Below are 23,024 nucleotides of genomic sequence, written 5' to 3' on the forward strand. Positions count from 1 at the left end.
TTCAGAGAATTCTATTTTAAGAAAAAGAGGCTGGGGCCGGGCGTGGCAGCTCACGCCTGTAATCCCAGCACTTTGGGAGGCCGAGGCGGCGGATCACCTGAGGTCAGGAGTTCGAGACTAGCCTGGCCAACATGGCGAAACCCCATCTCTACAAAAGTACAAAAATTAGCCGGGCATGATGGTGGGTGTCTGTAATTCCAGCTACTCGGGAGGCTGATGTGGAAGAATCACTTGAACCTGGGAGGTGGAGGTTGCAATGAGCTGAGATCACACCATTGCACTCCAGCCTGGGTGAGAGAGACAGTGAGACTCCATCTCAAAAAAAAAAAAAGAAAAGAGAGGCTGGAAGCACAGTGGTTAGTGTCCAGGCCCTGGAGCCAGGCTGCCTGGGTTCAAATGGAGCCCAGCCTCACAATCTCCAGCTGTGTGACCTTGGATGAGCCACTTCACCTCTCTGGTCCTGCTTCCTCACCTGGGAAATGGGGACCGTGATGGCACCCACCTCCTGGGGCTGCCATAGGGTTTAACAGATTCCCAGGTATACGGCTCCTAGAACAGAGCCTGGGACACAGCACTTACTGAAGGGCTCCATAAGGTCATAAAAGTGGCAGCCCATGCTCTCATCCTGTGCCTGTTCTGCTTTTTGTGACACTCATCCCTTTCTTCCTTTTTTGAGATGGAGTCTCGCTCTGTCACCCAGGCTGGAGTGCAGTGGCATGATCTCAGCTCACTGCAACCTCCACCTTTTGGGTTCAAGGGATTCTCCTGCTTCAGTTTGCCAAGTAGCTGGGACTACAGGCGCCCGCCACCATGCCCGGCTAATTTTTATATTTCAGTAGAGATGGGGTTTCACCATGTTGCCCAGGCTGTGTCCTCAAGTGATTTGCCTCCCAAAATGCTGGGATCACAGGCGTGAGCCACCACTCCTGGCCTATCCTAAGATTTTGTTCATTCACTCGTCTGCTCAGCGGATATTTTCTTTCTTTTTTTCGGGGGGCAGAGGGGGACGGAATCTCGCTCTGTTGTCCAGGCTGGAGTGCAGTGGTATGATCTCAGCTCACTGCAACCTCTACCACCTCCTGGGTTCAAGTGATTCTCCTGCCTCAGCCTGCTGAGTAGCTGGGATTACAGGCATGTGCCACCACACCTGGCTAATTTTTTGTATTTTAGTAGAGACGGGGTTTCGCTATGTTGGCCAGGCTGGTCTTGAACTCCTGACCTCAAGTGATCCTCCCACCTCGGCCTCTCAAAGTGCTGGGATTACAGGCGTGAGCCACCGCGCCCGGCTGAGTGTGGCATATCTTCTGTGCATCCTTTATGTGTGTGTATGTTTCCGAGTGTGCATGTGCGTATTTGCATGTGTGTCTGTTTGTAGCGATGTGTGTCTCTGTGCAAATCTCTCCATCCAGGCCCACCCCAAAGGGACTCCGGGGGTCCAGGAACACATTTTTCACGGGGTCCTTCAAAAACCCACACACGTGCCCCTTGGGCCTTGAGCACAGAGCAGCAGTGTACGTGGTTGGGGGTGCCCGAGAGACTCAGAGGTCCAAGGATGGCTCTGGGGAGAGGATGGCAAAGGGGGCGCTTGGATGGCGGAGGGGCTGAGGGGCACTTGGGAGAGGGGACTGGAAGGCAGTGAGCCAAGACGAAGCAGCCCGGGTCTGAAGGAAAGAGCTCACCTGGCCTCTGAAGGAGAAGGGAGGGGGAGGCCCCGAAGATGTGGGTTTCCAGTGGGGAAGGGGACAGAGAGAGACAAGGTCTGAACAAGACAGAGACAGAAAGAATGGCTGGGCGCGGTGGCTCATACCTGTAACCCCAGCACTTTGGGAAGTGGAGGTGGGTGGATCACCTGAGGTCAGGAGTTCAAGACCAGCCAGGCCAACATGGTGAAACTCCGTCTCTACTAAAAATACAAAAAGTAGCCGGGCGTGGTAGCGCATGCCTGTAATCCCAGCTACTCAGGGGGCTGAGGCAGGAGAATCGCTTGAACCCAGGAGGTGGAGGTTGCAGTGAGCTGAGATCCCAGCATTGCACTCCAGCCTGGTGTGGGCAAGAAAGTGAGACTCCCTCTCAAAAAAAAAAAAAAAAAAAAAAAAAAAAGGTACCAGAGGGAGAGAGACAGAGCCAAACAGGGGAGCGATCCACACTCTGCCTTGGTGGTCTCTCTCTCTGGGGGGTGGAGGGGACAGAGATCTGGAAAACTGAGAACCCCAAGGGACTCACACTGGTTTCTGAGCCTCAGTTTTCCTAGTTACAAAGGACAGCCTCTGCCTGTGATGGGCGCTGACACACGTGGCACAGTTCCCCATGTGTCCCTCGAAATACCTCCACCATCAGCACAATCATCCTACGAGACAGGCACGGCCGCTCTCCCCATTCTCCAGATGTGGAAACCGGGGCCCAGCCAGGTGAAGTCGTAACCCGAGGTGCCATAGCTGTTGCGTTCCAGAGGCGAGATTCAAACCCACGTCCGTCCGGAAGCCTTGGAAGTGAGGGTGTGCCTGCCTAACCTGCTCATTTCCCATGGGACAGAGGACGTGATTGGACAGCCACAGCTGGTGAAGTGACGCAGGCGTGGCCCTGAGTCTTCATTCTCCCCTGCACACACATCTCTTGCAGGAATTCTGCAGCTCCCTCTAGTTAAGAGGTGGAGTCTTGGCCAGGCCTGGTGGCTCGTTTGTAATCCCAGCACTCTGGGAGGCTCCCAAGTAGCTGAAACTGCAGGCGTGCACCACCATGCCCAAGCAATTCGTTTGCTTGCTTCGTAGAGATGGGGTCTCACTATGTTGCCAGGCTGGTCTTGAACTCCTGGCCTTAAGTGATCCACTCGCCTTGGCCTCCCAAAGGGTTGGGATTATAGGCGTGAGCCATCGTGCTTGCAGCCGGCCAATCAGTATTCTTATTCGTGATTTACGAGCTTCAAATTGGTAAGAATTTGAAATCTTGGGATAGACACAAGAACTCCAGTTGGTGGCTCCGTGTTTTTAAGACTTTATCATTAAAAAAAAGAAGAAATTAGAGAAGGGAGGTAGGGGGGACAGGAGAGTGAAGGAATCTCTCCAAAATGTCGGATCCGGGCGACCCTCCTTCCCTGACTGCCCAGCCACCCCGTCCCTTCTCTGTCCTGGCGGCGAGGCCCTAGCCGCCATCTTCTGGGGACCAAGGCCCAGGAGCCCAGCTCGGGTCCCAGGCAGAGGTGAAGGCAGAAGTGGGGCTCAGGGCCTGGAGGCCTTGCCGGTGTCCTTGAGAGCCCTTGGATGGGCACTCAGGCCCCCATGTCCCAGCAGGGCCCTAGGGAGGTAGGCATTGAGCAGAGGGGCCTTTGGAGGTGGGGTCCTGAAGCTGGAGGACCAGGCGGGAACCAGAGGCAGGTGTGAGGCTGGGGGTCACAGCCGGAGGCTGGGTCTGTGGAGAGGGGAGGAGAGGCCAAGTCAGGAGCGGGCAGGGGGCCTGGCCCCACCCCAGCCCATCTGTGCAGGCCTCATCAGCCCCAATGTGAGGGGGACACAGAGAGAGTGGCTGGCGGGGAATGGCACAGGGATGTGGGAGGGTCACAGAGAGAAGAGACGCAGTGACGAGAAAGAGGGAGACAGAGAATCAGAGTGGAGGTGAGGGAGGGAGAGACCTACAGACAGAGACAGAGAACAAGGAGAGAGACAGGCAGAGTAGGACAGAGACAGACCTGGAGGGAGTCAGAGAGAACGACATGGGAAGAGAGAGAAGAAGTCATGAAGAAATAGACGAAATGGAGAGAGAGAAAGAGAGACAGGAGGCTGGGCGCGGTGACTCATGCCTGTAACCCCAACACTTTGGGAGGCAGAGGCAGGGGGATCGCTTGAGCCCAGGAGTTCGAGACCAGCCTGGGGAACAAAGCGAGACCCGTCTCTACAAAAATAAAAATAAAAATTAGCCAGGTATGGTGGCGCACGCCTGTAGTCTCAGCCACTTGGGAGGCTGAGGCCAGAGGATCGCTTAACCTGGGGAGGTCGAGGCTACAGTGAGCCATGATCAGGAGTGGAGAGACAGAAAAGGAGACAGAAAGGAGCAGAGAAAAGAGCCCACTGGGCAGCCAGGCAGTGGGATGAGAAGACCCCTCCATCACTACTGACCCCAAAGGTCCCCTGACACTCACCCCAGACCATCCCTACCCACACTTGGCCATGAAAGAGCTGAGTCGCCCACTGCCCTACCTGGCCTGGATACGCCTGCCCATCTCTCTCCCAGGCTCGGCCTCCAGCACCCGCCTCCATGCATAAGCCCTGTGCAGGCCTCCACTCTCATCCCCAGGGCTTTTCTGCTGGCCCTGAATTCATTAGCCACCTGTCCGGCCGCCTGCCTCAACCCAGTCCAAAGAGAACTTCCTCCTTGTGTGTAGGGGGCTGGGGCTGTCTCACAGCCACGAGATTTCCAAGCTCTCCTGGCCTTGGCACGTGCTATTCCCTCTGCAGATGCTCCTCTCCTGCTTCACTCCTCCCATTCTGCTGGTCTCACCTCCAAAGTCCTCTCCTCCAGGCAGCCCTCCTTGAATCCTCTAGTCTGGGTCAGATGCCCCCTCCTCCAGGAAGCCCTCTCTAAACACCTCCCCCCATCCCAGGTCCAACACCCGCCCCCTGTGAGCTCCTCCAGTTCCTTGGCTTCACCATCCCAGCCCTGCCCGTTCTGGGGCATCACCATCTGGGGATGGGTCTGTCCCCTTCACTAGACTTTGTGCCCCATGAGGGCAGGGCTGAGGCTGTCATGGTCACTGTTGTGTCCCCAACATTACCCAGCACAGGGCTGGGCACAGAGGGGCTCAGGGGATGGATGGACAGATGGATGCTAAACTAAGGAGTTAGGACTTTGTCCAGATGGCACTAGGGAGCCACAAATGGTTTAATCCAGAGAGAGTCAAACTCTGATCTGGGCTTTGGAAACTCTAGGCTGCCTCCCTACCCTGGGCCTTTGCACATGCTGTTCCCTCTGCTTTTGTGAGCAGGGTAGACCTGTGCAAGTGACCTCTTCTCTCTGAACCTCAGTCTTCTTATCTATGAAATTAAAATTGTTAATAGTCTCCCCTTTCGGGATCGTTGTAAGGACTAAATGAGAAGATGCTCTAAAGTGCCGCCATCATACCAGGCCACAGAAGACTCAAGGCCTGGGAAAGTCAAATAATGCCCCCCTTCCACATTACTCCCTACTCTGCCCAGTGGACTCCTATTCATCCTTCAGTGCCCCATCCAGAGGCCACTTCCTCTAGGAAATCTTCCCTGATACCCCAGAGATAGCTGATGACTCCCTCCTATGGGGAAACTACGTTTTATTGTTTGAACTGTTACACTGGATTGTCACTGGGGTTGCCAACTTCCCCACAAGACCAGAATCTTCTCAAGATCCAGACCCTACCTGAGGCATGTCAGGATGGAGTGAGGGCTCAATTTTTTTTTTTTTTTTTTTTTAGATGGAGTCTCACTTTATTGCCCAGGTTGATCTTGGCTCACTGTAACCTCCGCCTCCTGGGTTCAAGTGATTCTCCTGCCTCAGCCTCCAGAGTAGCTGGGACTATGGGTACATGCCACCACACCTGGCTAATTTTTGTATTTTTAGTAGAGACAGGGTTTTACCATGTTGGCCAGGCTGGTCTCGAACTTCTGACCTCAGGTGATCCACCTGCCTCAGCCTCCTAAAGTGCTGGGATTACAGGCGTGAGCTACCGTGCCCAGCCAAGGGCTCAGTTTATGTTTGGAGATGTATCATAGATGAATGGGTGTATGTAGGTATGGATGGATGGATGGATAGTGGGTGGTGGGTGGGTGGATATATGGATAATGGGATGTGTGGGTGGATGGATGGGTGAGTTGATGGGTAGGTGGGTGGAAGCCTGGGTAGGGAGGTGGGTGAATGCACAGATAAATGGGTAGATGTGTGGGTGGTTGGTCAGTGTGGAGGTAGATGGATGAGTGGGTTGGCGAGTGGAGAGATGAATGGAGTGAGTGGGTGAATGTGTGGTCAGATGGGTAATGAGTGGGTAGGTGGGTGGACTAGGTTTGGATGGATGGATTGCGGGTGAATGAGTAATTGAGTAACGGATGGATAAAGATATGGATGGGTGAGTGAGTGGGTAGATGGATGGATACATGGAGGAGGAGGATGGATGGATGGATGGATGGATGGACGGACGGACAGATGGATGAATATCTTCCCATCAAGCCTCAGAGAACCCACAGTACAGGGACCCAGGCTGACCCACTACTCTGGAAGTGCCCACTCTTGGAGTCCTGAGGTCTAATGGAGGTTTGAGAATTGCACAATCCCCAGCCCTTAGACCCTCACACCTCTCCTGCATCAGCCTCTATAGATAATGCCATTCTCCTTCCAAGTTCAAACTCATCCCCACTGATCCTGGAAGACAAAAAAAAAGGAGGGTAAGTGCGTCTTTCAGAGACACCCCCAGATGCCTCTAAGTCTCCCTCACCCCTTCCTACACCAGGGGATCCCTCTACCAGGATAGACTGAGTCATAAGAAGGTGCTGGCCCTTTAAGAAAAAGTGGAGCCTTCCGAGGTATTGGGCTTGAAGTCTGGAAGAAATGAGGTTGTAAGGAAAAGATGGGGGACCAGGAAATCTGCCTTGGCATCACCTGCTTCTCACTAGGCAAGTGACACACTGTATTCCGCTTGAATTGAATCTCAGGTGGGCATCTTTGTTTTACAGGTGGGTCATGGTGCGCAGGGGCGGGGCCTAGCTAAGGGGGCGAGGCTTACCCGGAGGCCGGACGGCCACGTGTGGCTGCGTCTCGGTATAGCCCCCGATGGGCTGGCCCTCTGGGCTGAAGGCTGCACCCTGCCCTGCGAAGGGGGTTCAGAGGTGCAGGCTGAGCCCCAGGAAGCCCGGGACCCGGCTTTGACGCCCTCCTAAGAACCCCAGGCTCTCCGTCCCCGCCTTCCCCCTGTACCTGTGCGGTTGGATTGATCGATCATAGGTTGCACGATGCGTCTCCGGGCGTTAATGAACCTGGGAGGCGGTCATGGAAACGGAGGGGAATGAAAAGAGGGAGTGGGAGAGAGGCCAAGACGAACACAGAGCGGGCCGGAGGACAGCGGCGGGGGAGGCAGAGCGGGGCGAGCAGGGGCAGTGGCTCTGCGGGGCTCGGGGCCTCCGTCAGCACCGCGGACAGCGCCCGGGCTCTCGCCCCGGGCCGGCCCGCGGGCCCTCCTGGGCCACTCACCAGTTGTTGACTTGCAGGATGGTGAGCCCCGTGTCCTGCGCCAGCTGTTTCTTCTGCTCCTCCGAGGGGTACGGGTGCTGCAGCCACCAGCAAGAGTCACTCTGCCTGCCTGGCCGGCCGCAGTCTGAACCCCAAGGTCTGGCCCACCGGGGTCCGGGGGATGGGGAGCCCAGGCCCAGGCAGACGTCTGGGAGAACCGGCGCTTCTGAGCGTCTCTGCGCTCCCCAGGATGGAGACCAAGGGAGCCTCAGGCTTGGGGCAATTACATGCCTGCCAGCCCCCGCCTGTTCCAGCAATTAGAGGTTAACTGGCCAGCTCTGATTAGAGAGACTGTGTTGGGGGAGGGGGCTCCTGTGGCGTGGGGGAGGGGCTTCACTGGCGTCGGGGAGGGAAGCAAAGCCCAGGCCCTCCCTCTCTGAATCTGTCAGAGTCTCTGTGTGGCCCTCTCCCTATCCATTTATTTATTTATTTATTTGAGATGGAGTCTTGCTCTGTCGCCAGGCTGGAATGCAGTGGCGCGATCTCTGCTCACCGCAAACTCCGCCTCCGGGGTTCAAGGGATTCCCCGCCTCAGCCTCCCCAGTAGCTGGGACTACAGGTGCGCGCCACCATGCCCGACTAATTTTTTGTATTTTAGTAGAGATAGGGTTTTACCATGTTGGCCAGGATGGTCTCGATCTCCTGACCTCGTGATCCGCCCGCCTCGGCCTCCCAAAGTGTTGGGATTACAGGCATAAGCCACCGCACCCAGCCCTCCCTATCCATTTCTTTCTTTCTCTTTCTCTCTTTTTTTTAAACAGGGTCTCACTCTGTCACTCAGGCTGGAGTGCAGTGGCGCCTTCATGGCTCACTGCAGCCTCAATCTCCCTGGCTCAAGCAATCCTCCGGCCTCAGCCTCCTGAGTAGCTGGGATCACAGGTGTGTGCCACCATGCCTGGCTAATTTTTTTTTTTAGAGATGGGGTCTTGCTATGTTGCCCAGGCTGGTCTCGAACTCCTGGGCTCAAGTGATCCTCCTGCCATGGCCTCCGAAAGTGCTGGGATTACAGGCATGAGCCACTGTGTCTGGCCCTCCATTTCTCTCTTTGTGGCTCTCACATTCTCTCTCTGACTCACTATCTCTGTGTGTGTGTGTTTCTGTCTGTATCTCTCTCTCTCTCTGGGATTCAGTCCGTCCCTGCCTCCGAGTTTCTGTCTGTCTCTGTCCCTCTGTGACTCGGCCTCTCCCTGTCTCCATCTTGCTCTGACTTGGTCCTCCCCGAATCTCTGTGTCTCTCTGTTTTAGCCTCTTCCTGGCTCTATTTTTCTCCTCTGTCCTTGAAGCAGTATGGTGCGGTGGTTAAGGCCAGACTGCCTGCATTTGAATCCACTTCTGGCTGTGTGACCTTAGGCAAGTCTCCTAACCTCTCTGTTCCTCAGTCTCCTCCTCACCTGTTAAATGGAGATAATAGTAGCCCCTCCCTCCGAGGGTACACTGGGTGGATGGTGGGCAGGTGGATGATTGATGCGCGGGTTAATGGACAGTTTTCGGGGAGGACTTAGTGAGTTAAGTGTCCTGAGCGGCACCTGCACTCAGGTGACACTCAGTGCTGCTGGCTCCTGTCACAATTCTCCACCTCCATGAGAGTCTCGAAAAATTTCCTGCCGTCTTTCTCCCACTTCTGGGTTTCTCTGGGGTTTCGGTCTCTGTGGTCCACCCTTCTCCCTCTCTCCATTCCCACCCTGCACCTGGGCAGCAGGGCTCTCACCGAGAGGTGCTGGAACAACCAGGCTCGCATGATGTTGGTGGCCACCTTGGGGAAGATCCCCCTCTTCTTGTTTCGCCGTCGCTCCTGGTCCAAGTCCTCATCTTCTCCACCAGAACTGGGAGAGGCCACGCTGGTGTCCAGCCCGTCTCCTGAGGGAAGGCAGGCATGCTGTGTGTGTGGGTAGTGAAGAGTGGAGGACCAGAGGGCCCCAGAACTCTCCCCCAAGACAACACTCCACACCCCAGCCATCTCTGCCCCTCTACAAGTCTTACTTGCGATCTAACTTCAATCCTCTGGTTGACTCCCATGTTTCCCTTCCACCTCCCAAGATTCTCACCTTGGTCACTGGAGTTGTCCCCACTCTGGGAGGCCAGGCCCCCACTGGATGGACCTGGGGTCCCCAAATGTACAGACCCACTATCCTCATGGTCTCGAATCCACATATTATTCTAGAAAACAAGAGTTAGAAGTTAGTGCCAAGGCGGCCGGGCGCAGTGGCTCACGCCTGTAATCCCAGCACTTTGGGAGGCCAAGGCAGGCAGATCACAAGGTCAAGAGATCAAGACCATCATGGCTAACATGGTGAAACCCCGTCTCTACTAAAAATACAAAAAATTAGCCGGGTGTGGTGGCATGCACCTGTAGTCCTAGCTACTCAGGAGGCTGAGGCAGGAGAATCGCTTGAACCCGGGAGGCAGAGGTTGCAGTGAGCCGAGATTGCGCCACTGCACTCCAGCCTGGGTGACAGAGCAAGACTCCGTGTCAAAAAAAAAAAAAAAGTTAGTGCCAAGGCTTTGGGCATGGACTCTGGAGCTAGGACTCCTGGATGGGAAGCCAGTCCCTGCCTCCTTCCTAGCTGTGTGATCTTGGGCAGGTCACTTCCCCACTCTGAGCCTCCGTTTCCTTAACTGGAAAATGAAGGACAGGACCAGGCACGGTGGCTCACGCCTGTAATGCCAGCACTTTTGGAGGCTGAGGCAGGCAGATCACCTGAGGTCGGGCATTTGAGACCAGCCTGGCCAACATGGTGAAACCCCATCTCTACTAAAAATACAAAAACCAGGCTGGCTTGGGCACAGTGGCTCACACCTATAATCCCAGCACTTTGGGAGGCCGAGGCAGGCGGATCACCTGAGGTCAGGAGTTGAAGACCAGCCTGGCCGACATGGTGAAACTTTGTCTCTACCAAAAATACAAAAATTAGCTGGGCATGATGGTGGGTTCCTGTAATCCCAGCTACTCGGGAGGCTGAGGCGGGAGAATCGCTTGAACCCGGGAGGGGGAGGTTGCAGTGAGCCAAGATTGTGCCACTGCACTCCAGCCTGGCCGGGGTGACAAAGTGAGACTACGTCTCAAAAAAAAAAAAAAAAGAAAAAGGAAAAGAAGGGCCGGGCGCGATGGCTCATGCCTGTAATCCCATCACTGTGGGAGGCCCAGGCGGGTAGATCACAAGGTCAGGAGATCGAGACCATCCTGGCTAACATGGTGAAACCCCGTCTCTACTAAAAATACAAAAAATTAGCTGGGCGTGGTGGTGGGCGCCTGTAGTCCCAGCTACTCGGGAGGCTGAGGCAGGAGAATGGCATGAACCTGGGAGGCAGAACTTGCAGTGAGCCGAGATCACACCAATGCACTCCAGCCTGGGTGACAGAGTGAGACTCCGTCTCAAAAAAAAGAAAAGGAAAATGAAGGACAATAATAGTCCTGACAGTGTGTGGCCAGTATTCAATGATGAGTTTGTCTACACAGGGGCTCAAACAAGATGACCTTACACAGGTCTATGGCATCTTATCTAAAATCCTTGGGGCAAGAAGTGTCTCAGGATTCCGAACATTTCACATTTTTATCTTTATTTTTAGTCAGTGTCTCACTCTGTCGCCCAGGCTGGAGTGTAGTTGCATGATCTAGGCTCAATGCAGCCTCTGCCTCCCAGGTTCACGTGATTCTCATGCCTCAGTCTCCCGAGTAGCTGGGATTACAGGTGCCTGCCACCACACCTGGCTAATTTTTGTATTTTTAGTAGAGACGGCGTTTCACCACATTGGCCAGGCTGGTCTCGAACTCCTGGGCTCAAGTGATCCACCCACTTCTGCCTCCCAAAGTCTTGGATAACAGGCGTGAGCCACTGCGCCAGGCCCATTTCACATTTCTAGGCAATAAATCAGCGCATACACCATGCAGTTCGCAACCATCCTAGGCAGGGTCTGGGGCACAACCTCGTCATCAAACTCATGAACATTTCCATAGCAACATGGATGAGTATTTAACTAAGTGGAATAAATAAAGGCTATAAATAGCCCCTCATTAGTTCAGGTCAGCTTTTGCTGCCAAATGAGTTTGCACTAAATTTATGGGACAAAATCCAAAACTTTGAAGTTTCAGAGATTCTGGGGTCTCAGAATTGTAGCTAAGGGGGTCTGGGGCTGTATTATCTTTTTCTTTTCTTTTTTTTTTTTTTTTGAGACGGAGTCTCGCCCTGTCCCCCAGGCTGGAGTGCAATGGCATGATCTCAGCTCACTGAAACCTATACCTCCTGGGTTCAGGCGATTCTCCTGCCTCAGCCTCCCGAGTAGCTGGGATTACAGGTGTGTGCCACCATGCCCGGCTAATTTTTTGTATCTCTAGTAGAGATGGGGTTTCACCATGTTGGCCAGGTTGGTCTCAAACTCCTGACCTTGTGATCCACCCCCCTCAGACTCACAAATCGCTGGGATTACAGGTGTGAGCCACCGTGCCCGGCCTTATCTTTTTTTTTTCTTTGAAGAGACAGAGTCTTGCTCTGTCACCTAGGCTGGAGTGCAGTGGTGCAATCTTAGCTCTCTGCAGCTTCAAACTCCTGGGCTTAAGCAATCCTCCCGCCTCAGCCTCCCAAGTAGCTGGAACTACAGTTGCGCCTGGCTAATTTTTCTTATTTTTTGTCGAGATGGGATTTCACAGTTTGTCCAGACTGCTCTCGAACTCCTGGGCTCAAGCAATCCTCCTGCCTCGACTTCCCAAAGTGCTGGGATTACAGCCATGAAGCCACTGCAGCCAGCCTCACAGTTTCTTTATGCAAACTCCAACACACTTTGAGGAACTCAACAATCGGGTAGGATTTACCCTCTACCCAGATCTGTGCCCCAGGAGGTCAGCTCACCCATATGGACTGCAGTAACAGTTCTTTGTTTTTCAGTTTAACGTTGGGTTAAATCTGCCAAGTGGTTTTAGATTAACTGTATTCTTCTACCAAAAATCTTAGCCGCTGTCAAGCAATCTGCTCCTCTCTCCAGTTCTGGTGACCACGCCTCCTCCCACCCTTCTTTTTTTTGAGACAGAGTATCACTCTGTCGCCCAGGCTAGAGTGCAGTGGCGAGATCTCGGCTCACTGCAGCTTCCGCCTCCCGGGTTCAAGTGATTCTCCTGCCTCAGCCTCCCAAGTAGATGGGACTACAGGCGCACGACATAACACCCAGCTAATTTGTTGTTGTTTGTTTGTTTTTTTGAGACAGAGTCTTGCCCTGTCACCCAGGCTGAAGTGCAATAGCGCGATCTTGGCTCACTGCAACCTTCGCCTCCCGGGTTCAAGCAATTCTCCTGCCTCAGCCTCCTGAGTAGCTGGGATCAGAGGTGCGTGCCACCACGCCTGTCTAATTTTTTGTTTTTTTTATGTTTAGTAGAGACGGGGTTTCACCATGTTGGCCTGGCTGGTCTCAAACTCCTGACCTCGTGATCTGCCCACCTCAGCCTCCCAAAGTGCTGGGATTACAGTCGTGAGCCACTGCACCTGGCCTAAGTTTTGTATTTTTAGTAGAGCCGGGTTTTTGCCATGTTGGCCAGGCTGGTCTTGAACTCCTGACCTCAGATGATCTGCTCACCTCGGCCTCCCAAAGTACTGGGATTACAGGCATGAGCCACTGCGCCCAGCCATCACCAGTCTACATTTTCCTTTCTGTGACTGCAGTTTGAAGGTTTGGTTGTCCTGTTTGTGACACTGTTGTTGCGATTCCTGTGCGAGTGGGTATAAGGCTCCAGGACTTGGCCGGCTGCAGTGGCTCATGCCTGTAATCCCAGCACTTTGGGAGGCCGAGGCGGGAGGATCACTTGAAGTCAGGAGTTCGAGGCCAGCCTGGCCAACATGGTGAAACCCCGTCTCTACTGAACAAAAATTAGCCCGGTGTGGTCGTGGGCACCTGTAGTCCCAGCTACCCGGGAGGCTGAGGCAGGGGAATAGCTTGAACCCAGGAGGCAGAGCTTGCAGTGAGCCGAGATCGTGCCACTGCACTCCATTCCGGTCTGGGTGACAAAACAAGACTCCATCTCAAAAAAAAAAAAAAATGTCTCCGGGACTGTGTCTGGGTGGGTCTGGCTGTGGCGTGGTCGTCATAGGAGTGTATCTGAGGTGGTGTGGAGTGGGTGTGCGTGTGCTGTGAAGATGTCATTGCCAGGTGTGTTCACAGTAGGATTGCCTGAGTGTGGCTCTCATGCGACTTCTCAAGGCTTTGCCCCTGTACTCTGTATGGAGCTGTGGCAAGTCGGGATCCACACGGCTGTGCTGTGTGTGTTTTCCGTCTGGTGTCCTAAGTGGATAAAACTGTAGTGAGGCTGCGTCTGAGATGGTGCCACCTTACTGAGTTGCTTTGCTGGGTTTGATTCTTTTTTTTTTTTTTTGAGATGGAGTCTTGCTCTGTCGCCCAGGCTGGAGTGCAGTGGTGCGATCCTGGCTGACTGCAAGCTCCACCTCCCGGGTTCATGCCATTCTCCTGCCTCAGCCTCCTGAGTAGCTGGGACTACAGGCACCCGCCACCACACCCAGCTAATTTTTTTTTTTTTTGTATTTTTAGTAGAGACGGGGTTTCACCGTGTTAGCCAGAATGGTCTTGATCTCCTGACCTCATGATCCACCCACCTCAGCCTCCCAAAGTGCTGGGATTACAGGTGAGAGCCACCGCACCCGGCCTGGGTTTGATTCTTTGTGGCCGCATCTGAGCCTGTGAGTCTATTTCCAAGTCTGCGTAGATGAGTCTGGGGCCATGTGGCTGTGAGTGGTGTGTGCGTGTGATCTCGGCTGCAGCCCGACTGTGATGTGGCCAGGGTCACGTGTGTGCAAGAGGGCACCGTGGTCAGTCCGGGCCCAAGTGTGGTTATATCTGAGTTTGCCGGGCAGTACCTGGGGCTGTTTGGCTCTATGTCCATCTGTGTGGCTGGAGCGGGTGTGTGTATGCAGTGGACACATACTCAATTGAGAACGGCGTGCGGAACCCGGCTGTGTGTTCTATGCTGCTGTCGTATGGCTGGGCTGGGGGGCGTGTGTGAGTACCCGGTGGACGCTACTGTCTGGCTGTGAGCAGAAATGGCTGTTGCTGAGTTGGTGTGGCTGTATGTGGACCTGTGTGGGTGTAGCTGAATCTGTGGGTGGCATCTGCAGCCGCTGGTGTGCGTGTGTCTGTGCACTGTTGCCCAGCCGCATCCGAGTCTGCGTAGCTGTTGTGTAGTGGGTGTGTGGCTGTGTGCATATGCGTGCCCTGTGATCAGGCTGACTGTGGCTTCGTCTGAGGCTGTGTAGTGCACATGCGCCCTCATGCGGTGTCCAGGCACAGCTGTGGCTGCAGGACGATGCCTGGTGCCCGTCCCGGGCCCACCTGGTCTGGGAGGCTGGGGCAGGAGGCTGGGTAGTCCTCGAAGTCCTCCCTGCAGCCGCCGTCCCGATCCTCGATGACCAGGTCGATGGGCATCTTTCCCTTGAGGCAGGTGATGTAGCGGTGACAGAAGTTGTCGCACAGGTCGTGGACCTGGGGGGGCACCGGGGTACTGGGGGGGGCCACCCACGGGGGCAGGGCGGGGGTGCTCAGGGACGGGGGCGGCATTCTGCTTCAACTCCGGTGGGGAGAGAGCTGGAAGGTGGGGGGCAGAGGCGACGAGAGGGGGTGGGATGACAGGGGCAAGTGAGGGTGTGGGGAGGTGAGACGCGCTCACCTTCTCCAGCTCCAGCAGGTGGAACCGCAGCACCTGGATGGCCTGGATCATCTGAAAACGTGGGCGGGAGGTGGGGGGAGACAGAGGGAATTGGGGGAGGGAGCAGGGAGGAAGAAGGAAGAGGAAGAGAAGGAGGAAGAGGAGACACAGAGAAACAGAAAGAGTGAGACAAAATGACAGGGACAGGGAGATGCAGCAAAGAGAGACAAAGACACCAGGTGCAAGGGGGAAAGAGAGAACAGAGATGCAGCCCAGAATTAAGGAAAGAGCAGATGTTAGATTGAGAGAAGCAAGAGACGAAAAAGGACCCATCACAAGCGGGGAGAGCTAAGGTGAGCCATGCTGACTGGCATTCCCATCCTCTGCCTGTTGGCCCCCAGCTCCAGGCCCCACCCACCTGCAAGCTACATTTCCCAGAACACTTGCCAAAGGGTTTGGCCAATAGGAAGCCCTGGCAAGAGCTTGGGGAGCAAAGGATGGGAGAAGCTGGGTATTCCTCCCTCCTTTCTTCTCTCTCTCTCTCTTTTTTTTTTTTTTTTTTGATATGGAGTCTTGCTCTGTTGCCCAGGCTGGAATGCAGTGGTGTGATCTTGGCTCACTGCAACCTCTGCCTCCCAGGTTCAAGCGATTCTCCTGCCTCAGCCTCCTGAGTAGCTGGGACTACAGGCGTGCACCACTGTGCCCAGCTAATTTTTGTATTTTTAGTAGAGACAGGGTTTCATCATTTGGTCAGGCTGGTCTCGAACTCCTGACCTCAGGTGATCTGCTTGCCTCAGCCTCCCAAAGTGCTGGGATTACAAGCATGAGCCACCGCACCCGGCCCTCTTTTTCTTTCTTTCTTTCTCTTTCTCTAGCTCTCTATGAGAGACAGGGTCTTGCCCTGTTGCCTGGGCTGGTATGCAGTGGAGCTGATCAAGGGTCACTACAGCCTCGACCTCTTGGGGCTCAAGCGATCCTCCCGCCTCAGCCTCCAAAGTAGCTGAGACCACAGGTGCATGCCACCACACCCCGCTAATTAAATGTTTTTGTAGAGGTGGGGTCTCGCTACGTTGCCCAGGCTGGTCTCGATCCCTGGCCTCAAGCTATCTCCTGGCCTTGGCCTCCCAAAGTGCTGGCATTACAGGCGTGAGCTGCCGCACCCAGCCTCCTCTCCTTGGGCAGCAGTCCCTGCGCTCACTTTGGCATAGGTGCTGATCTTCTGACGGATGGAACATCAGACACTTTTTGAGCCCTATTCTGTGCCAGGTGCTGTTCCACGCACTTGAATCGCATTCACTCATTAAACCCCCACAGCAGCCCTCCAAGACAGACATTACTACCAGCCACACTTCACAGACGGGACACCAAGGCACGGAGATGCAGAGTGACTTGCCCTGGGTCACAGAGCTGGTGAGTGGCAGAGCTGGGATTTGAACTCGGGCCATGGGTCCCGTTCTCAGACTCTAGGCTGTACCACACGGCACGTGGGCAACAATCATGACGGTTTGGGGACATGGACCAGGTGGCCTTCTCTCTGCACCCCCCCCACCAACCCCAGGGATGGGGCGTCAGGGAAGGAGACCCATTGGAGGAGGGGGTGTGGGGGAGGGCTCGGGTCTCACCAGATTGTCCAGTTCTGGGTTGGAGGAGAAGAGGGGCCTCTCAGAGCGAACCTGGGAGGGAAGAGAGAGGCCGGCAGGGGGATGTCCCGCCTTCCACCCACCCCTCCTCGCTGGCTCTCTGACTCGGTGTGTGGTGGGTGGGAGGTGCCCACCTGCTTGGCAAAGGCAGCGATGTCCTCGTTGAAGGAATCAGAGGAGCAGACGTCACCTCCAGGGGGTGTCCCCAGCCCAGCTCCGGCCCCGTCACGGGGAGAGCATGTAGCCAGTTCACATTTCTCAAAGACCAGGGCCAAGAGGGGGAAGAGCGGGTGTCTGGGGAGGCAGGAAAGGAGAGAGGTTGAGGGAGAGGCTGGGAGGTGGATGGAGGGGCTGCCAAGATGCAGAACAGCTGGGGAGGGGACAAGAGACCCAGAGAGGGAAGGAGACAGAGACTCGTACACAGAGAGAGACAGAAGCAGACCCAGGGAGCAAAGAAGCAGAAAGACAGAGAGAGAGAGACAGGAGCCTGAGACCCGGCCCCACTCACCCATAGATCTCATCCTTCTCCCTCTTCAGGCCGTCGCTGTCCAAGCCTGGGGGCAGGGGCTGGGGAGGCCGGTGCGGGCCATAGGGCCCTGGTACTGCGGGCACTGTCTCTGGGAAGCTAGCCAGGGCTGCGGGGCCATCCACGATGCCTGGGTAGTGCGGCAGCTCATCATACTGGGGGAAGGTGAGAAGAGAAGGGCGGAGCCCCAGGGAGGGGTCAGCACCCCGAGACTCGGCTGAGGAGCTTCTCTATCCTGGAACCCAGGAGATGCCCTTCTGTGTCCCAGAAACCTGCCTGTGGTCCCCAGGTGTCTGAGCCCCCAAGCTTGAAGCCCTCCAGGTCCCCTGGAGCTGCCTCGGTGGGGAGTGAGGACCCCGTCCAGGCAGAGATTCCTGACATGTGGGCAGGAGGACCCAGAGGGAGAGACGGCAGGGTCTGGCTGGGAGGGAAAAGAGATGGAGAAAGTGGCGTGAGAAGACAGTGACAGAGACAGAGAGAGAGACAGACAGAGAGGGAGATCCATGGACACCTCCTGTAGGAACCGCGCATTGTTGTACACAAAGTACACATACGAAGCCTCCCTGTCTTCTATTTCATTTCACAGTTGGCAGATAAGCGCATCAGAGTAAGTCTCAACAACATGTCACACTCCACTCGCCACGTGAATCTACCACACATGTAGACACAGCCATACACACCAACCCACGTGCACACTCATGTGTCAGTCACACCCAAATCCCCCCCCCCACACACACATGCACACACACATGCACACAGCCCAACACCAGGCACAAGAATGAATGCATGATTGAGACATTTGGCACATGGATGAATGAATGAATGAGGCATTTAGCACAGGGCCTGGCTCATGCTGTGAGCACTTGTTGCCGGAGAGGGTCACTCCGCACCACCATACAGACACGATTGCGCACCCAAGAGAAACACCATTATGGGGTAGGACGACCGCGTCCTGTCGTCACAGAACCATGCACCTGGGAAGCCAGGGGCACCTTCCTCTCATCAGGTCAAATCCCTTCCTCAGTGATGAAGACACGGAGGCTCAAAGAGGCAGCAGGACTCGCACGGGAAGAGGCTAGAACGTTCCTGCCTCGGACCCTCGCCTGGCTGGGCACCCTGGTTCTGTGTGTCCCACTCTTTCCCTCTCCCTCTTCTCCTAACTTCTCCTGTGCCCTGAAGTTGAATCCAACTGCTCCCCGCTGCTCAAGGCACTCTCACCAAAAGCGGTCCTCACAGCCTACCCGGAACCCCCAAAACGGGCGCGCGCCTCCTCCCCTGTCTTCTATCCCCGTTCCCATCCCCAGGGAGACAGGCTCCGTGGGGCCAGCAGCCTGGTGAGACCACCTCTCCCACCCCTGTCCCACTCCTAGCCCTGGAGAGGCAGGGGCGGCTTGGAACAAAAGTAGAGCGAAGGGAAGGACGGAGGAGAGCAGAAAAAAGGGGGGACGGTGAGGTGCGGGCGGCTGAGATGGAGGAGGAAGCCCAGGAACAGAGGAGAGAGACTGCGGGTGGGGGAGGGCAGAGAGAGGGGGATAGAGAGGCAGAAAGAGGGGGGAGACCAGGGACAGAGAGAGGGGGACAGAGAGGCAGAAAGGAGGAGGAGAGTGGGGCAGACAGAGGGGGACAGAGGGGCAGGGAGAAGGAGAAGCTAAACGATGGGGAGGAGGCGAGGCCGAGGGCCAGGAAGAGACACTTGGGGGCAGAGAGGGGGCACACAGGGACTGGGAGACCCAGGGGCGGAGGGAGGGGCAGAGAGAGAGCGAGGTGGTGTAGAGGACGGATGGGCTAATGGGGGCCAGCGCCGGAGAGTGGGGGATGCAGGGACAGGGGGTGCGGAAGCGGCCGGGACGCGGGGTCCCCGCCCCGAGACCTACCCTCCGGGCCATGGGCTGAGGCCGGCGGCAGCTCCTGGGTCCCTCCAGAGCCTGGCCGCGGGGGAGGGCGCAGCCCGGGGCCGCAGCCCCTGACGGCCCGCGGTGTTGACGCCAGGGGGTGGGCAGGAGGCCAGGCGCGCGCCCCCCCACCCCCGCCGCCGTCAGCGGCAGGCGCCGGGCCGGGTGGGGACTCCGCGCATGGACCCCGGCCCCCGCCCCCAGCGGGGGTCACGGCCAGGAGCGCATCGCCGCCGGGGCGGGGGCAGCAGGCGCAGGCGGGGCGCCCGAGGCCCCCTCCTCTGGGCCCCCCCCGTCCCTTCCCCGGCTCTGGAGGGAATCGAACCGTCCCGAGACGGACACACCGGGGACCGCAGGGGGCGGGGGGCGGCCCGGGGCGACGGAGGGTCCGGCGGCGGCTCAGGGGTGCTGGCAGCCGCGCTCCCCGTTCCCGGTCTCTCCCTTGTCTTGTGGAAATTAAACAGAACCACCAAGGAGCGGGATAGGGGATGAGCCAGAGTGAGCCTGCAGAGCTACAGCACGAGGGATTGGGGTTAGGGCAGCAGCAGCACTTCCGGTGGGAGTCGGGGAGGGGCAGGCTGTGGGGGGAGGAGAGGAAGAGACCGCGGCCCTGGTGCCCCCAGGCCCCTCCTCTCCTACCCAGGGCTGGGGTTCCTGCTCCGGGTTTCTCAGTCTCCCTCTTTCCCAGTCTCTCTCTCCTTGTCTCTCTCTGTCTCCGCTTCTCCCGTCCTTTCTCTCCTCTGGCTCTCTGTTCTCCGAGCCCCCTGGACACACCACGGACCCCCTCCCTGGCCATCTCCAGGGGTCACGTGGGAATCTGGAGTCTGGTCCCACCGTAGGCTCTCCCCTCTCTGAGGCTCGATTCCCCCTCTGCAGGATGGGCAGTGCGCTGGGGGCGGCGGGGGTGGGCTGTGGATAACGGAGAAACAGTTAAGCTAGAGGGTGCCAGGACTCAGGGTCTTGGCTGAGTCTGGGGGTCCCCATGCCGGCGGGCTCTGCCCCCGTGGCTGTCCTGCGGTGAGGCTGGCCGTTTAAGGCAGTCCGAGGGGAAGGGTCTGGAGGCCTTGCCTTTCCTCAAGGCCGGCGCACCCCAGATAGGGGTTTTGGAGCAGAAAATTAATTTAAATCACTTTTTAATTAAAGACACAAGGCCCTTTGGTCTGCTCCACCCCCACCTCACCCTCAGCCAAGACTTGGGGTGAGGGATGCAAGGGTTAGGAGTCTCTGGCTCTATTTGCTTTTTTGGGGGGTGGTGCATGCTAAGGTCCCCTTAGCCCAGGCTGATTCTGAAACCTAGAGGAGCAAGTGCGGCCTCATCTGACGGCCAGTGGTGGGGGGCGTGGACAGAGCAGGAAGGGAGGGAGGGGGCACCTGGGATGGGGATGGGGCCTAACTGGAGTGGGGAGGGAGGTAACTCCAGTGACGGTGTGATTCAGAGAGAGAGAGAGACAGAGACAGACGCGGGTGGGAGGAGAGAGAGAGAGAGGTGCAGACAGAGTGAGACAGACAGGAGGGGGAGGGAGTGGGGGACAGGAGCTCCAATAGAGACCCTGGAGTCGTCCCTGCCACCCCCAAAACAAGAGCAGGGGGCTTGGACTCTGAAGCATAAATCTTTCTAATTAAAGAAAGAGACGAGCTGTTGGGAAGGGAGAAATAAGTGTGTGGGAGAGAAATTGATTGGGGGAGGATGGAGGATGCCGGCGGGGGACGGAGGGAGCAGGGGGGAGGCTCCGGCTTTCTGAGGCTCTTCCTCCAGTCTTTCCCTCTGTCTGTCCATCCGTCTGTCTGTCCGTCTCTGTCTCTCGCTCTCTCTCTCTCTCTCTCACACACACACACACACACACACACACACACTCTCTCTCTCTCTCTCTCTCTCTCTCTCTCTCTTCCTGGCTGTCTCCCTTAAATAGTCCTGGGACCCTTCTGTTCCCAGGGGGAGGGAGCAGGTGGCGGCCAGGCCTGGTGCTGGAGCGGGGGTGCCTGTGTCACTGCGTCGCGGCTGCCTGTCGGCTCTTCGAGGGTGTGCTTGGGCCTCCCTGTGACAGTGTCTGGAAGCGTCTTCCCTGCCCGGCTGAGTGGCTCCCTGGGTGGCATCAGAGTGACCCCAGCTCCCAGTCTGCAGGGGTCTCCGCCCTCTAGCCCTGTCCTGCACCTGTTTTACAGACGGGAAGCGTGGAGCCCTCTATGAGTAGATCTGGGGGACCTCATGGGTCTCCCCAGCACGGGCTGGGCGATCTCTCAGCGGACTGGCCCTTCAGTGCCCCAACCTGAGCACCGACCACTGGGGCTATGCCCACCAGGCAGCCACGTCCCCCGGGGATCCGCAGTGGTCCCCAGGATCCCCTCTGAAAGCCTACAGGAGCAGACCGAATGAACGAGGATCCACCTTGGGTTCCTCCTGTCCTCTCTCTCGGGCCTGCTAGCCTCCTGCCTCGGTTTCCCCTCTTTATCAACCGCTCTGTGTCTGTCTCTCTCCTTCTGGGGGCCCAGGTTTGCTTCCTCCTCCTCATTCCAGGCTCTCTCTGAGAATCTGTGTCTCTGCTCAGGAGGGTGGGGGAAGAAGGGACCCTAAAAGACAGGCCGTCTCTGTCTCCATCTCCGCCTGGGCTATGTCTGTCTGTCTGTCACCTGGGCTGTGTCTGTCTGTCTGTCTCCTGGCTTTTTTTTTTTTTCTTGTATCTCTGTGTCTCTTTGTCTGGATGTCTTCTCTGCCTCATCTTTCTTATCTCTCTTTCTCTCCATCTTTCTCGGTCTCTCTCTCCAGGGGCCTCTGTCTCTTCTCCCTCCTTCCTCTCCCTCTCTCCGCCTCCCTGTCCCCCCCACCGTATCCTCCCTGGGCTTCTGTCTCCCTGGCTCTCTCCCCTCTCCTCCACCCGGGCCCTTCATAAATACATCGCCCCCTTCCCGTCCTCCCGCTGCCTGGCCCAGCTCCAGGAGAAGGAAACATTTATCTTGGTGGGGGCGCCCACCCCTGCGCCCGCCCCTCCGCCCGCTGGCCACGCCATCCATCACCCGAGCCCAGACTCCTGTGGCTCATTCGTCACCGGCCCTGACAAATGCCTGCCGCCCCCTTCCCCTCCCGCCCCACCAAGCAATCATACCATTAGCCACGGCTCAGCGGTGGCGGGAAGGACCCGGCCTGACCCGGGCGGGGGGCGGGGCACAGGCTGCGGCTCCCACCGAGACCCCTCTCTCCCTCTTTTCCTTCCCTTTCTATCTCTCCTCGCCCTCTCCGTCTTTTTTGTTGGAATCTGCTTTCCTCTGCCAGTTTCTCGCTGTGCCTCTGGGTCCTGTCTCCGGTCCGTCCTCCTCCTCATCCTCCTTTTCCTCACCCTCTCTCCTTCTCTCCTTCTGTCTCTGTCTCTCTCTTACTGAGTCTCTTTCCAGTTCTGACTCTGTCTCTGTGTCTCTCTATAACTGTATCTCTCTGTCTCTGCCCGTCTGTCTCTCCCTCTCTGTCTCTCATCTCTCTCTGTCTCTCCCTCTCTGCCTCTCCATCTCTCTCTCTGTCTCTCCACTCTGTCTCTCCCTCTGTCTCTCCCTCTCTGTGTCTCTTCATCTCTCTGTTGCTCCCTCTCTCTCTGTCTCTCCATCTCTGTCTCTCCCTCTCTCTCTGTCTCTCCATCTCTCTGTCTCTCCATCTCTCTCTGTCTCTCCATCTCTGTCTCTCTATCTCTCTCTGTCTCTCCTTCTCTCTCTGTCTCTTCATCTCTGTCTCTCCCTCTCTGTCTCTCCATTTCTTTCTCTGTCTCTCCATCTCTCTGTCTCTACCTCTCTCTCCATCTGTCTCTCCCTCTTGCTCTCTGTCTCTCCATTTCTCTCTGTGTCTCTCCTTCTCTGTCTCTTCATCTCTATCTCTCCCTCTCTGTCTCTCCATTTCTCTCTGTCTCTCTCTTTCTGTCTCTCCCTCTCTCTCCCTCTCTCTCTGTCTCTCCCTCTCTCTCCATCTCTCTCTGTCTCTCCCTCTTGGGGTCTGTCTCTCCATTTCTGTCTGTCTCACCATCTCTCTGTCTCTCCATTTCTCTCTGTCTCTGTCTCTCTCTGTCTCTCCATTTCTCTCTCTGTCCCTCCCTCTCTCTCTGTCT

The 23,024-nt window shown here is 56.5% G+C and overlaps 1 protein-coding gene across 29 annotated transcripts, besides 5 other annotated features; it reads right to left on the reverse strand.

The window, feature by feature from the left end:
* Window positions 1,742–2,441: an enhancer, noted in NCBI's record as "H3K4me1 hESC enhancer chr19:47905147-47905846 (GRCh37/hg19 assembly coordinates)". NCBI's record gives its function as "activates a minimal SCP1, AML or CMV promoter by ChIP-STARR-seq in primed H9 embryonic stem cells {active_cell/tissue: H9 hESC(primed)}" and the evidence as "EXISTENCE:reporter gene assay evidence [ECO:0000049][PMID:30033119]".
* Window positions 2,442–3,141: an enhancer, noted in NCBI's record as "H3K4me1 hESC enhancer chr19:47905847-47906546 (GRCh37/hg19 assembly coordinates)". NCBI's record gives its function as "activates a minimal SCP1, AML or CMV promoter by ChIP-STARR-seq in primed H9 embryonic stem cells {active_cell/tissue: H9 hESC(primed)}" and the evidence as "EXISTENCE:reporter gene assay evidence [ECO:0000049][PMID:30033119]".
* On the reverse strand, window positions 2,976–22,085 carry MEIS3 (Meis homeobox 3). Of its 29 annotated transcripts, none has more exons than NM_001346148.2 (13): window positions 22,041–22,085; window positions 17,030–17,202; window positions 16,656–16,815; window positions 16,504–16,554; window positions 14,903–14,953; window positions 14,569–14,718; window positions 9,288–9,399; window positions 8,951–9,099; window positions 7,204–7,280; window positions 6,931–6,989; window positions 6,740–6,823; window positions 6,312–6,378; window positions 2,976–3,405 (listed from the first exon to the last, which is right to left on the reverse strand). In NM_001346148.2, the coding sequence occupies exons 1-12, from the start codon at window positions 22,041–22,043 to the stop codon at window positions 6,329–6,331; spliced, it is 1,119 nt and encodes a 372-aa protein (NP_001333077.1). In that variant the 5' UTR covers window positions 22,044–22,085; the 3' UTR covers window positions 2,976–3,405; window positions 6,312–6,328. The 29 variants fall into 29 exon arrangements, with proteins under 29 accessions (NP_001333077.1, XP_024307383.1, NP_001009813.1 ...); XM_024451615.2 differs by having other exon boundaries at window positions 7,204–7,418; NM_001009813.3 differs by lacking the exon at window positions 22,041–22,085 and adding an exon at window positions 18,922–19,379 and having other exon boundaries at window positions 14,569–14,667.
* Window positions 3,142–3,839: an enhancer, noted in NCBI's record as "H3K4me1 hESC enhancer chr19:47906547-47907244 (GRCh37/hg19 assembly coordinates)". NCBI's record gives its function as "activates a minimal SCP1, AML or CMV promoter by ChIP-STARR-seq in primed H9 embryonic stem cells {active_cell/tissue: H9 hESC(primed)}" and the evidence as "EXISTENCE:reporter gene assay evidence [ECO:0000049][PMID:30033119]".
* Window positions 17,473–18,465: an enhancer, noted in NCBI's record as "H3K4me1 hESC enhancer chr19:47920878-47921870 (GRCh37/hg19 assembly coordinates)". NCBI's record gives its function as "activates a minimal SCP1, AML or CMV promoter by ChIP-STARR-seq in primed H9 embryonic stem cells {active_cell/tissue: H9 hESC(primed)}" and the evidence as "EXISTENCE:reporter gene assay evidence [ECO:0000049][PMID:30033119]".
* Window positions 18,466–19,459: an enhancer, noted in NCBI's record as "H3K27ac-H3K4me1 hESC enhancer chr19:47921871-47922864 (GRCh37/hg19 assembly coordinates)". NCBI's record gives its function as "activates a minimal SCP1, AML or CMV promoter by ChIP-STARR-seq in naive H9 embryonic stem cells {active_cell/tissue: H9 hESC(naive)}" and the evidence as "EXISTENCE:reporter gene assay evidence [ECO:0000049][PMID:30033119]".

This window comes from Homo sapiens, chromosome 19 (genome assembly GCF_000001405.40).
Source record: "Homo sapiens chromosome 19, GRCh38.p14 Primary Assembly".
In the NCBI taxonomy this organism is placed as follows: Eukaryota; Metazoa; Chordata; class Mammalia; order Primates; family Hominidae; genus Homo; species Homo sapiens.

What these genes read in the sequence shown, in the direction of transcription:
- MEIS3 (XM_024451612.2), bottom strand. Translation starts at nt 17,599, where the DNA reads ATGTGTACTTTGTGTACAACAATGCGCGGTTCCTACAGGAGGTGTCCA. An exon ending in CAGACACCTGGGGACCACAG is followed by an intron (nt 17,203 to 17,323) that starts GCAGGTTTCTGG and finishes ACCTTCCCCCAG; the next exon opens with TATGATGAGCTGCCGCACTA. An exon ending in CGATCAATCCAACCGCACAG is followed by an intron (nt 6,824 to 6,930) that starts GTACAGGGGGAA and finishes CCCCCTTCGCAG; the next exon opens with GGCAGGGTGCAGCCTTCAGC.